The sequence below is a fragment of the Homo sapiens genome, chromosome 1 (genome assembly GCF_000001405.40).
Source record: "Homo sapiens chromosome 1, GRCh38.p14 Primary Assembly".
NCBI classification, from domain to species: Eukaryota; Metazoa; Chordata; class Mammalia; order Primates; family Hominidae; genus Homo; species Homo sapiens.
Genome location: NC_000001.11, coordinates 190,278,985 through 190,291,398, shown reverse-complemented (window position 1 = coordinate 190,291,398; position 12,414 = coordinate 190,278,985). Strand labels below are relative to the sequence as shown.

The window sequence follows — 12,414 nt, the reverse complement described above, 5'->3', positions numbered from 1 at the left end:
TTTCTCCCATTCTGTATATTATTTCCTTTGTTGTTTGGAAGCTTTTAACTTTGTTGTAATCCAATGCATCTATATATGCATTTGTTGTCTGTGCTTGTGTTCTCTGCACCCTGAGCTCAGAGTTTGGACTATACTATATCACCTATTAAAGTAACTGATTATAAACCTCTTTAATCATTCACTTCCTACAATTCATCTTTTAAGAAATGTGAAATACTCTCAAAGGCCCTTTAAGTCCTTCTACCATGTAGAGGTTTACATTCTCTGTTTCCTGGGTAGCTAGTCAGGACAATAAAAGATTAATCTATACTTGGCTTTTTGCTTCTGTTTGATATATATTAGTATTTCTCACATTCCTCCCCATTTAATGGATAAACTTCTCTCAACCTTGTCTGTTTCTTCTCTTTCCTCTCTCTCTCTATACTCCATATCTTTTTCTGTCTCTCCCATGCATCCTCCATGCTTCCCACAAATACACACACACACACGTGCACACACACACACAAACACTCACAGATATACATTACCAGTAACAGCCACCTTTCAATCAAAGTTGCTATCAATCTGTAAATGAGTTAATGTCATTAAGTTTGAGGTCTCACCCCCTAGATTCAAATTCTTGCTAGATATACAGCCTCGGAGAATTTATTTCTAACAATCTTCTCTCATTTATCACAAGGAGATAAAAAGAGCACACACCTCAGTGCCATAGTTTAAAATTCATAGGTTGATCGCTTAGAAACAAGTCTAATTAAATTATCATTTCAATTTCAATGATGAAGTAAAAGTTATCTGGCAGAAAATGTTTAATGAACACTAGTATGAAAGTTGTTTTTGCCTACCAAACGTATAAACTTATTGACTGCTAATCAGTGAAAAATTACATTTTAAAGTTTATAGGAGAAAACTAGTCAAATATATTTATTTCGCCCATAAAAGATGAAAACTGAATTTGTCTATATCAATGTGCTTCCCCTGCCTTATGGCTGGCATAGATTAGAGAAATTAAAAATCTTTTTATAGCTGAAATATCTGGATTGCTGTTCTCAAAGTGTATTAACCGTAAGATGCTTGGAGTACCACAACTATACATTTTACTGCCCTAGCAGGAAATGATAGCATATTTCTAAACTTCCAAACATATATTTTAGATATCAGTGGGAGTAGGTTTTTACATACGGTTAGTGTTTCTCAGTTTAGAGCAAATAGTTAACTTTTAATTTGCCCTAGTCACATGAACACTCAAAGAGGATAATTGAGAAATATATTCCTCTACTGAGTTTGATTTTCTGTGAACTTTAGTCAGGGTGTATACTAACTAGTAGGAAACCTCATTCTTTTTCATACTTAGGTAGCTATTTCATTTTAGCTCACATGAGAATATTTACTCATTTCATGATTCCGAGTGTATTTAATGAGTGACTACTATGGGTCATTCATTTGAGTCTTAAAAATACAATGGTTATAAGAAAAAATAATTCACATCTACATGAAACATGAATCAAAGAGTGACACAAGTAAGTTCACAGAAGGAAAAGAAAATTGTGCCACGAGTGCATATAACAAGAGGACCTGAATTAATTGGAGACAGGTATGGTAGAGCAGAAAAGATGGCAGTTCCCACATATTGTTAGTGTCTTTGAAGTTCATATGAAGCAGGTAATATTTAAGAAGTTTATATTATATAAATCCCCAAAAGAAGATGGTAAGACCAAGTGCTTGCTAGATAACAAGTTTCAATTTGTAATCCATACAAGACAGTGGTATCCACAGAAAGATGAAATTACCTGTTAATATTTTATAAAGTGTTTGTGTGTAAAATTGTATTCTAACAATCAAGCCTGATTCATACTGAAAGGTTATAATTTGGGGAATAAAAAATTTATACCTTGTAAACTTAAGTTTATACTTTTTCTGAAAATTTATTTTGTCACAAAGTACCATATTCAGTCTCCCTATCTGATGTATATATGAAAGACATAAAATTAAGAGCATGTTGAAATAAATTATTTGTATATTAAAGCCTATGACCTGCAGCAACACATTTTCATTTGCCTCAACTATGTGGGAAAAATCATCTAACATTTTAAAAGGAATTCCCTTTAAGACATTTTAAGACATATTTCAGGAAAAATGTAAATTCTACTGAATTGAGTTATTATTCAAAACTCATCTTTATTATGAAAAATTTTCTTTAAAAGATGGGCAATTTATATTTATTGTCACTAGAAATGCAGTTATTCTTTAAAAAATCCTTCATTTTGCCTTCTTACTTCATGTAACTTGAAATGAAGCAATATGTGAAGTTGTAATTTATTGTAATCTCAGATATATAATTGGTTAGTTACCTTCACATAATCCATGGTTTAAAAAAAAATCCAATGTTTAATTTAAGGTAGATGTTGTATCATCATAAAGAAATCTCAGTGGAAATGTTGCCTAAATAATTGAAGAAATTGTCAGCAAACATTATTTTTTCATTAACAGATATCTATTTCACATTTACCTATCTTTATGAGCATTAAACTTATTAGTCTATACCTGGAACAACACTGGTGTGGTGCATATTCTTTAAGTGATTTTATTTATAAATTCTTTTGTAAATTTTTACTTATTAATTCCACAAAATCGCATTACCTTAATCAATAATATTTATACATTTTTAAAAATTAACATCCTGGCACAAAAAACCCACTTCACAAATTTACATGTACCAAAAATTACTAAGAAGTAATCCATGTTATCTGTACTACTGTAGTTAAGTTTTACAAATTTTACTTCAAAATGTCTCCTGTATCAGTTTTATTACACCCATGATCATAGATGAGGTGTGTTTATATCACCGAGGTTATGAACTTGCAAAAATTCTGAAAGCTTTACATTTTGTGAATTAAATTGGTGAGTATAGGATTTGAAACTTCAGTTGTTTCACTCCAAATTCCATTTCCTTTTAAAAATTAAAATTCCCTATCTAAAATAATAAAATATATTCACAAATGCAAATATTTATATCTATTAATGAAGATAATGAATTACTTCTGTAAGTATAAATGCTAAAATAAAAACATTCCATGTATCTCTTTTTATCAGAAACAGACTAAATATTTTATTTTATTTTATTTTAGCTCAGATATGTCTATGCCTCTTGACTTGTCTACACTTATCAATAGTTACCTAATCTGTATTATTATATGAATGTAATTAAGGAGTAATTTTGATAAGTTGATATAATATTTGTGATAGAAATTAAACTATACTTTCAAACTTTAGAAAGCAAAATTTAAGCAAAATTCTTACATATTTTCCTTTATTCAAATGAGAAGATCATTAACAGCATGTTTGTATGTTTTTACAGAAAGCTTTTGCTAACAAGTGTTCAAAATGTGATTTAATTTAAACAAGCTTAATCAATTTCTGTATTATCATATATACCTGCATTTGTGTTGTATTTCTCTTAGTTTGCATAAAACCCTATTAAGCTATGAAAGTGATTTAAAACTATGTAACATAAAATTAAATTATTTTCAGTAATTTCAAAGCCCTAAAATATAACATATTTTAAAAATCTGAAGTGTGCATAACTAGCCATAAACCAGACCATCCTTTAAAAATTTCTCAATAGCCCCACCTTCATCTTTTTTGTTTCAATGATAGTCATGAGGTTACAGCTACAATTAATTCTTGTTGTTCTACTGAGATGGCAATTGTTTTTGTTGCAGTCATGCCAATTGTCTTCTGTAGTCTACTTTGAGTTTGGCAGCTTTTTCAAAATACAACAGTCATTAATCAGTGCTTATCAGAAATCCTACATATAAACACTTTACATAAGTTGTATTTGTGATTGGACTTTTATCCCCAGTATTTTATTGGAATAGATTCATTCTGCTAAATTTCCAGCATCATCCAAAAATTTTTCCCAAGCTTAAAAAAAAAATTAAACTCTACTACTATTAAATTTATTTTAAAAAGTTTGATGTATCAAGGGGCTAAAGGGAGAGTGGACTTTTTTATCTTGCCAATTGCTGAGCATTTAGCTGTTTTATAAACACTAGCTTCAGTGGTACAGGCATCCAGGCCATTTAAAACATTTTCCTTTTACCAGCCAAATGGAAAACAGTGTCATTTGTGAGATGTTGAAGCTATATGGTAAGAATGTTTTTGTTTTTGTTTTTTGAGATGGAGTCTCGCTCTGCGGCCCAGGCTGGGGTACAGTGGCACAATTTTGGCTCACTGCAACCTCTGCCTCCCAGGTCAAGTGATCCTCCTGCCTCAGCCTCCTGAGTAGCTGGGATTACAGGCACACACCACCACAGTCGGCTATTTTTTTTTTCTTTTTTTTTTTAGTAGAGACAGGGTTTCACCATGTTGGCCAGGCTGGTCTCGAACTCCTGACCTGAAGTGATCCGTCCGCCTCAGCCTCCCAAAGTGCTTGGATTACAGGCATGAGCCACTGTGCCCAGCCAGTAAAAATGCTTTTAAAGTCAATTTTATATATCACAGTTTCTCAATAAAATTATGGGGAGCCAATATTGACATTAGTGCCATTTCTTAAGATCCATATGATTTTACAGATGTAATTAGAATGTTATCGTTATTAAAGTTTGGCAAGTTAATTTGTGATTTTTGTTTTGAATTTGTTCCAGTAGACATGAATGCTTAGGTAATATATTTATTTTAAGATTCTATTGTGTCTGAAAATTTTAATGGTTATTGATAAAATTACTAGCCAACAAATATAGTAATGTGAAAAGTAATGTAATAATAGCATTTAGGACTTTAGACAACTTCATTTAATGGAAATTAACAGTTAAAGGTAAATCTTTTCAGCTACTGCATCATCTGCTTTTGTCAATATATTTTGGGTTTCTTTTTCATTGGTATTTAATCCAAAATTTCTAATATGAAGAGTGGCAAATTCTGTGTTTTGGGAAAGCCAAACATATGTGTGTACTTTTAAAGAAATCATGACAGTTAATATCTTTTAAATATACTGAGTACATTTGTGTATTTGTATATATTTAAATGCTAATAAGAAAGGTTAATGGCAATGTGGCAATTATGTGACCAGCATTTAACTGAAATTTGATGATGTCATTCTTATTTTCTAGCCTTTTTATGAGCTGAGTAGGGATAAAATTATAATAAACATTGTAGAAAAATTAACGTTGTATGGACATACATAGTAGATGATTGCACATCAGAGTTTTTAGCAGACAAACATAAAACTCTAATAAACAAATAGAGGCTCCTTAGAGTATGATCCCCAAAAATATTTTCAAAGTAATGTTCTGGTTAAACTGGTTACAGCCCATATGTGTGTTCTATATCACAGTGGTGTCTTGAAAAGGACTGAGTTACATTAAACTAACGATTGTGCCTATTTAATTGAAAGACTTGCAAACGTTATGATGGGAAGATAGTTACGTTCTGTGAAGGCTCCAAGTAGAATACAACACTTAGTTAGATACAACAATGTTCTTATTTAATATAAACATAAAGCATCTGGATGAAATCCTGAGATGCCTTAGGTAAAATGTTCTCATTATGGTAATTACATCCAACAGCATGTTTTTAATTCAGCGCTCCATTGCTTTGTTTTTCCAACATTTAATGAATGCATGATCTAGTTGTAACTGAGGTGAATCTTGTCTTCAGGAAACAAGGAAAAAAAAAACAAACCCTCACCCCTTAGATTCCAATTTATATACAGACATTAGCTCCTTATTACCTTCCTAAGATTTCCCAGAGTCAAAAAACTTTACATCAATAATGATATACTAGATTATACTACTAGAAAATAAGCAAATCAAATAATCCCATAATCTTTGCTGGAGGGCAGTGGCATGATCTCGGTTCACTGCCACCTCCGCCTCCTGGGTTCAAGTGATTCTCCCACCTCAGCCTCCCATAATCTTGATGACTTTACATGACAAAATTTACTTTCAGTTCATTCACTTGTTCATCCTGTTAAGCGTTAGGGATATATGTGGACCATAGCAATTCTGATTATAGTTGCTAATCAATGTCCGGGCTTATGGACCAGGTTATACATACATGCTCACAATTCATCTGTCAAAGTAAGCCACATGGCCACGGTGACTTAAAATGTCATCAGTAATGTCTTATCTTGTATTCGGGAAAAAGGGACACTGGGAATTTCGATTCATATCTAATGTTTACTACTCACAGTGTGGTTCTCCAGAGATGACTGTCTTTACTTAAAGCGCTCTTATCACCACTTCTTAGGATTATTTTGTTGTTTTATCTCAGTTTCCAGAAAAACTTTATAAAGATTATAACAGTGATCATATTTCACGACAGTACAAACCAAATGTGGAGAGGAAATAAGAGCTCTCTTAGATTTCAATTTGAAATTTATGTTGTCTACACAAACTAACCTTGTTGGATATACAAAATGGTGTAGTATTTTGCTTTATTCTTTTGGATATACACAATGGTGTAGTATTTTGCTTTATTCTTTATATGAAAATATGGGGAGAAAACTGGAAGATTAAGTTTCTTGAAATTAAGAAAATATTTTTCTTTAGTTATTAACAATAACTATAATTATTTAGTTATTTAATTAGTTTTAGTTTGGTGATATCCCCAAAGAGTTTCTTTCTTTTTGTTTTTTGCATGACAGAGATAATAGATTAATAGATGGGGTGTCAAAGTGTTTTATCATTTGAAATATTAGAAGGTGAAGTGAGACTACAAATTTAACATATTGAGTGAGTAAAAAGTACCTGATAGCTGAAGGAAGCTCTCTGGAAAGTTGTCCAGGAAGCCTTCTTAGGCTATTCAGAGAAAACATATCCAAAGTGAGTTGGATTAGATCCATTCATATCAAAGAACAATGATAAATGGGTAGAGGAGTTGGGCTAACTAAGCTACTATACAATTGTATTTTTACACAGAAAAATACTCTAAAGCCTTTGAATGGCAATTTATTCATTCATATTTTATCTTTGTATAATTTTTGAGCCCTCGAGGTCATAGATTTTCTTATGTTCATCTGTATTGCCAGCAACATGGACAATAATATTAGTTGATAATAAAGAGTAAACAATATTTTCTTTGAATAGCTGATTCTACAGTATTATAGAGCCTTATAAATTGATTTCATAAGATACATAATTTGTTTTAGTTGTTTTGTAATATGTCTATTGTTCTTATTTAAGAGGAACAAAATGAAGGAAGTCATAAATACATCAGGTCAGAATAGATCATGGATTTATATTTGCATATTTACTAATTGTTAAAAAACATAGAATTGCACTTTTCTAGCATGTGTTTACTCTCAGTCATGTATCGAAAATCTTTCAGCATTTTAGAAAGCATTTATACAGGATATAAAATATTACCATTGAATCAATCATCTTGGATTTTTTAGTCTAATTATTTCACTTAGATTGTATCTTAATCTATAAATACATTTGAGTTAACAAATTTAGCACTGTAAACCACTGAAAAATACATGTCACAGCTTTAAGGTCAAGTTATGTTACTCTATTGATTAAATTACAAGCATTTTTCAGGAGTTAAAAAATTAAATGTTTGAGCATAAGCCTATAAATTTTGGAATTAATGAGCAACTATTATTTTGATCATGGTATAAAAATAACTTCTTAGAAGTTTTGTATTACTATATATCCTGAGATATATCATCAAATTTAGGACTTAAATATTTGATTTCAAATGATCTTTTGTCAATGTTTAAATTTTTATTTATATATCCTATATTTAATATTATATATTTTATATATTATACATATACATACATTATGTACCTACAATTCAGATTTAAGTAAATTTATTGTAGAAGTGACTAACATAAAAATTTATTGATATCAACTTAGGTTTGGAAAGATAAAGACATTCTTACTCTATTTTGAGGGAACATTATAATAAATTCAGCCTATAAAAGCCCTATATTTACTGAAAAGATGACACTTTGAAGAGATCTGAAAGACAATATAGCAAATTATGTAGATCGGTTGTTTTATTCAAAGTATGGTCACCAGAAGAGCAGCACTAGCATGTCTGTTTAAAATGCAGATTCTAACTCCTATCTAATACCTAATGAATCAGAATCTCTGTTGTGAAGTTTCCAGGTGATTCTGATAGGTGCTGAAGTTTGAGAACCCTTCGAGGAAAAACACTAATTAAAACTTTAGATGAGCTGATTCTTACAGGAGATAGCAAGAATTTCTCAAAGATGAAAGAATTTCTAATTTATGTTCAGGCCAAAGTCTTCCCTAGATTCAAAAGTGATTCTGATCATATAATTAGTGACAAAAATGGGCTGTTTGTCAAATATGTGCCACAAGTACTAAATATCCATAGTTAGAAACTGTCAGTGTCATGTCCCTTTGTCCTGGAAGTATGTACACTGTTCCTCATTATTCTGCTTCAGTCCTTTTCCTGCCTCCTTGCACCAAGCAATTTATTATTATTTTTTCACATATTGCCTAATTGTTGTCTCGGCAGAGTTACCCTCCTTGGCCATGTAATGTAAAATATGGCCACACTTCATATAGTCATATTTCTCATCAAAGTGGTCTGTATGTGTATCTCTCAGTACATATCAGAATTTAAAACTTTAAAAAATTTAATTTTCTGTCTTTATTTTATTTATTCCTAAACATTTCTCCAAAAGGAGAAGGCTACTTGCAGATGGACAGTGTGGGTCTCATCAGTAGATGAATCTCTTATCATGCACTGATCCTGGCACATAGCAAGCATTTTTTGGAGAAAAATAGAAATAAAGATTGCACATGTGTATAAAGTGTTTAATTAACATTTTATTTGATTATTTTATAAATATGAATTAACACACTTTGAAGTATTAAGCCTAATGAAGAGTGTTCTTCCCTGTGGGTGATATTTGAGAATTTTATTGGACCACTTCTCAGAAAAATTATCAGATGCAGTTTGCTATAATTCTTTTCTAATTTATTATCAGATTGATTTTATCTCAATGTAAATGTATACATTCTTTAAAAAATGTATAAATCTTTTATAGACATATCTTTCATTTTTCTAACTTGGCCAAATTCATCCATAAAATCACTTTGCATCTTGAGAAATTGCAATAGCTGAATTTGGGTTTCCAAATATGTTGTAAACCATGATTATTAAAAAAAAAAAGAAGAAAACTGATTTCTTTTTTGTTGTTTTTAAAGTTCTGCGTCTCCTTAATATTCCTGAGGTTTTTTATGTTCCCACTCTAAAGTGAATAGAGAAAGGGAATCATTAGGGTGATGAATATAAATCATTCTTTTTTTCCAATATACCTTAGAAAATGAAAAAAATTGCCCTTAAGTTGTTTTGTTACTGTTTAGTAACTCTATATTCATATTCTAGGCATAATAAAGTCGTTTTTATGAAAATATATTTTCTTGGGGAAAAAAATCTCAGTGGAAGCTGTACACTTTAGGTGGCTTATTTTTCCTTTACATGACTTGGTTTTAGAGTATTCACTCCAGTTAAATAAATTATAAATATTGCTTCTCCTACTCATAGCACACAACCTAGTATTACAAGCAAGAGACATTGTAATGTACTGACCCCAGCTACCAAGTGAACTCAAATGAAAACATTCAGATAGATTATGCATTTATGAATAAAAATAAATTTGCTTTTCAGGGAGTTTGGCCGCTGGAAAGTAAATAACCTTGCAGTTGAGAGAAGAAATTTCCTTGGCTCTCCTCTGCCTCTTGCCCCTGAATTCTTCCGCAACATAAGACTTTTGGGACGTCGACCTACCCTTCAGCAAATCACAGAAAACCTTATCAAGAAATATGGGACACATTTCTTGCTATCTGCTACTCTGGGAGGTACGGCTCTTTGAACCTATTTGTGCCTGTGTGTGCTTGTGCCTAAAACCGTATAAATCGCAGAAAAGTGTTAATTAATCAAGATAGCTACAGTATGAATAGTTATAGAACTCATTCATTCATTTACCCAACACATTTTGAGTGATTATTAAATGTCCCACACAGTGTTCACAGTTGTGAAGCAGATGAATATTACTAAGTTTCTGCATGAAAGCTATTTACAATCTAATAACATACAAATATTTGACATAATTGTTGCACTCTGTAAGGTGATATGGAAACTTTTATTTAAAATACATGAATAATAAGAAGTCACAGGTGGGGTCATCAATTCTAGTTATAGAGAGAAGGAAAGATTTCTTTGAGTACATATTAAATAACTACAATTACATTGTTAGCACCATTTTAGTGTTTCTGATTGTAGTTGATACAGATTGTAGCTGGTACGGAAAAAGTGATAAACAAATAATTATGATGCATAATAAGAAAGTAGAAATGAATAAATGTCACTTTCTTTGTATATGTAAATGTATACATTTGTAAAAATTAAGGAAGCTATTGTGTGATATTGTTAAATACTATTTAGCCTTAAAAATATGGCTTTTTCATAGTGATGTGTGATTCAGCATTTTGAATATACTTAAATGACCTTTTAGGAGATAATGTGTAATAAGCAACATATGACATTTTCCTAAAATTAAAAAATATCCCAGAATTACATATATTTAATTTTGTGTTTGACTTCAAATCATGTCCCACAATTGCATTTAGAAATAGATGTTACTTTTTCTTATAATGAAGAACACTGTATAAAATTGAATAGGAAAGCCAGGAAAAGAGTGAATCCCTGCTTTCTTGTCAGTTTCTTAATGGGTTTACCAAAGATAGCCGGACTGATTCGCAGCAATGGTATGGTGTCACAAAAGGCAGCTTGTTCATTTTCTAGCCTTAGAGGATGTCTTGTCTTTCCTTAACCTGCCAGCCCAGTCTTTCAGCAAGTCATGTCAATTTTTTACACCAGAATATACCCCATATCAAACTCTTTCCTCACCTGCTCTCCAGCATCTCTAGACCAAGACATCATCATTTTTTTTTTCCTACAATACTCAAATGGTCCCTTCTCCACACAGCTCTTTTAAAATCTTGGATCAGTTCATATTCACTGTTTTAACTGAAACCTAGAACTGGCCACTTAAAATAAAATCTAAGTGTCTCCCTGTGGTTTATAAAGCCTTACATCAATGATCTGTGAATGCTAGCTTTAAACTCAGGCCTCTTCTCATTTCTTCCTCATGCTCTATTTTTCAGTCACAGTCACAATGATGTTCACATTTTTCTACCCAAATGTTATTTTTTCAGGGAGGCCTTTTCCTGACTACTCTTTCATCAATAGTGCCCAGTGAACCCCATTGTTCTCTACTATTTCATGATCACATTTGCATTTATCACAGTATTTATTATCATGTGAAATTATTTTAATTATTTGGCTATTGGTTTATTATCTGTAGTTCTTGCATATTTTCTTAAAAACAAGGGCCTTAGCTATATTGGTCACCACTTCATCCCCATGGCTATAATTGCCCTTCATTTACAGTAGGTTCTCATTAACTGTTTGTTAAATGAATAAACAAGTAAAACTACACTTTCTTAGGAGATTGAGGTCATCCAAATAACTAGATATATGTAAACATTTATAATATAAACAGAGGATAATTGAGTTATAATTCAGGAATAATTCTGAATGCAAGCAAATCCAGAGAGCCAACTGGGTCAAATTCACAAATAAAGATTCAGAATTGATGAGAATCAGTACCCAAGTAAGAGTAGATAAGGAAGGCATGAACAGGTTGAAAAAGGAGTGGATGCCTGAGCACATTGTGGAAAATAACTCCGGCATGGAATCTCAAGACATTAAAGGTGAAAAATATAGGCGGCTAAGGCAGATGGAAAAGTCTGGCTGTAAATACACACTATTTCTCCATTACCTTGTTCCACAAATGAATAGTGATAAAATAAGAAGAGAAAGAGATCAGCCATATCCTTGTTGAATCCTGATTCTCCCTCCCCGTCTTTTAGGCAACTGTGAGACTTTAAAATCTATTAAGTAATTCCTCTGCATTTTAATTATTTAACAGAAAAGGGGAGAATAACACCTATGTGATGGGACATAGAAAGGTTAGTATAAATGTTGAAAACTGTGCTTAGCACAGTGTGTGGTATAATTTAAGTATGTGATGCATTGAAGTTGTTTTCATTATGTTAGTGTAGATAGCCAAAAATATAAAATATTTTAATAATTGTGAAGATTGATTCTGTGAAAGCTGTGTCTATTTGGCTTAGTAATGTCAATTATTATTAATGCAATAAAATCTGAAAGGTAAAATTTGAGTTATTTCTATAACTCCTCCTCTGAAAAAGTTCAGTGATTTTGAAACACATACTTCATTATTATTATATAAGTGATTCAAAGCACCTGTAAGTATTTCAGAAGATAAAATATATTTTTCCAGATAAGAAAAGAAGGAAAAGACAGAGGAAAGACAGAAGAGATCAAAAACACCAATGGTTCCATAGA

At 31.4% G+C, this 12,414-nt stretch overlaps 1 protein-coding gene across 14 annotated transcripts in view; it reads left to right on the top strand.

Annotated features, from left to right (window-relative positions):
- BRINP3 (BMP/retinoic acid inducible neural specific 3) overlaps positions 1–12,414 on the top strand; it is a 380,207-nt gene that overhangs the window by 186,466 nt on the left and 181,327 nt on the right. For 11 of the 14 annotated variants that reach the window (NM_199051.3, XM_017001127.2, XM_017001126.2 and 8 more), the window contains one exon: positions 9,649–9,839. The exons of the other annotated variants lie outside the window; for them this stretch is intronic. In NM_199051.3, the coding sequence (NP_950252.1) occupies positions 9,649–9,839 (191 nt within the window). The remainder of the gene's footprint in view (positions 1–9,648; positions 9,840–12,414) is intronic. 14 annotated transcript variants of the gene reach the window in all.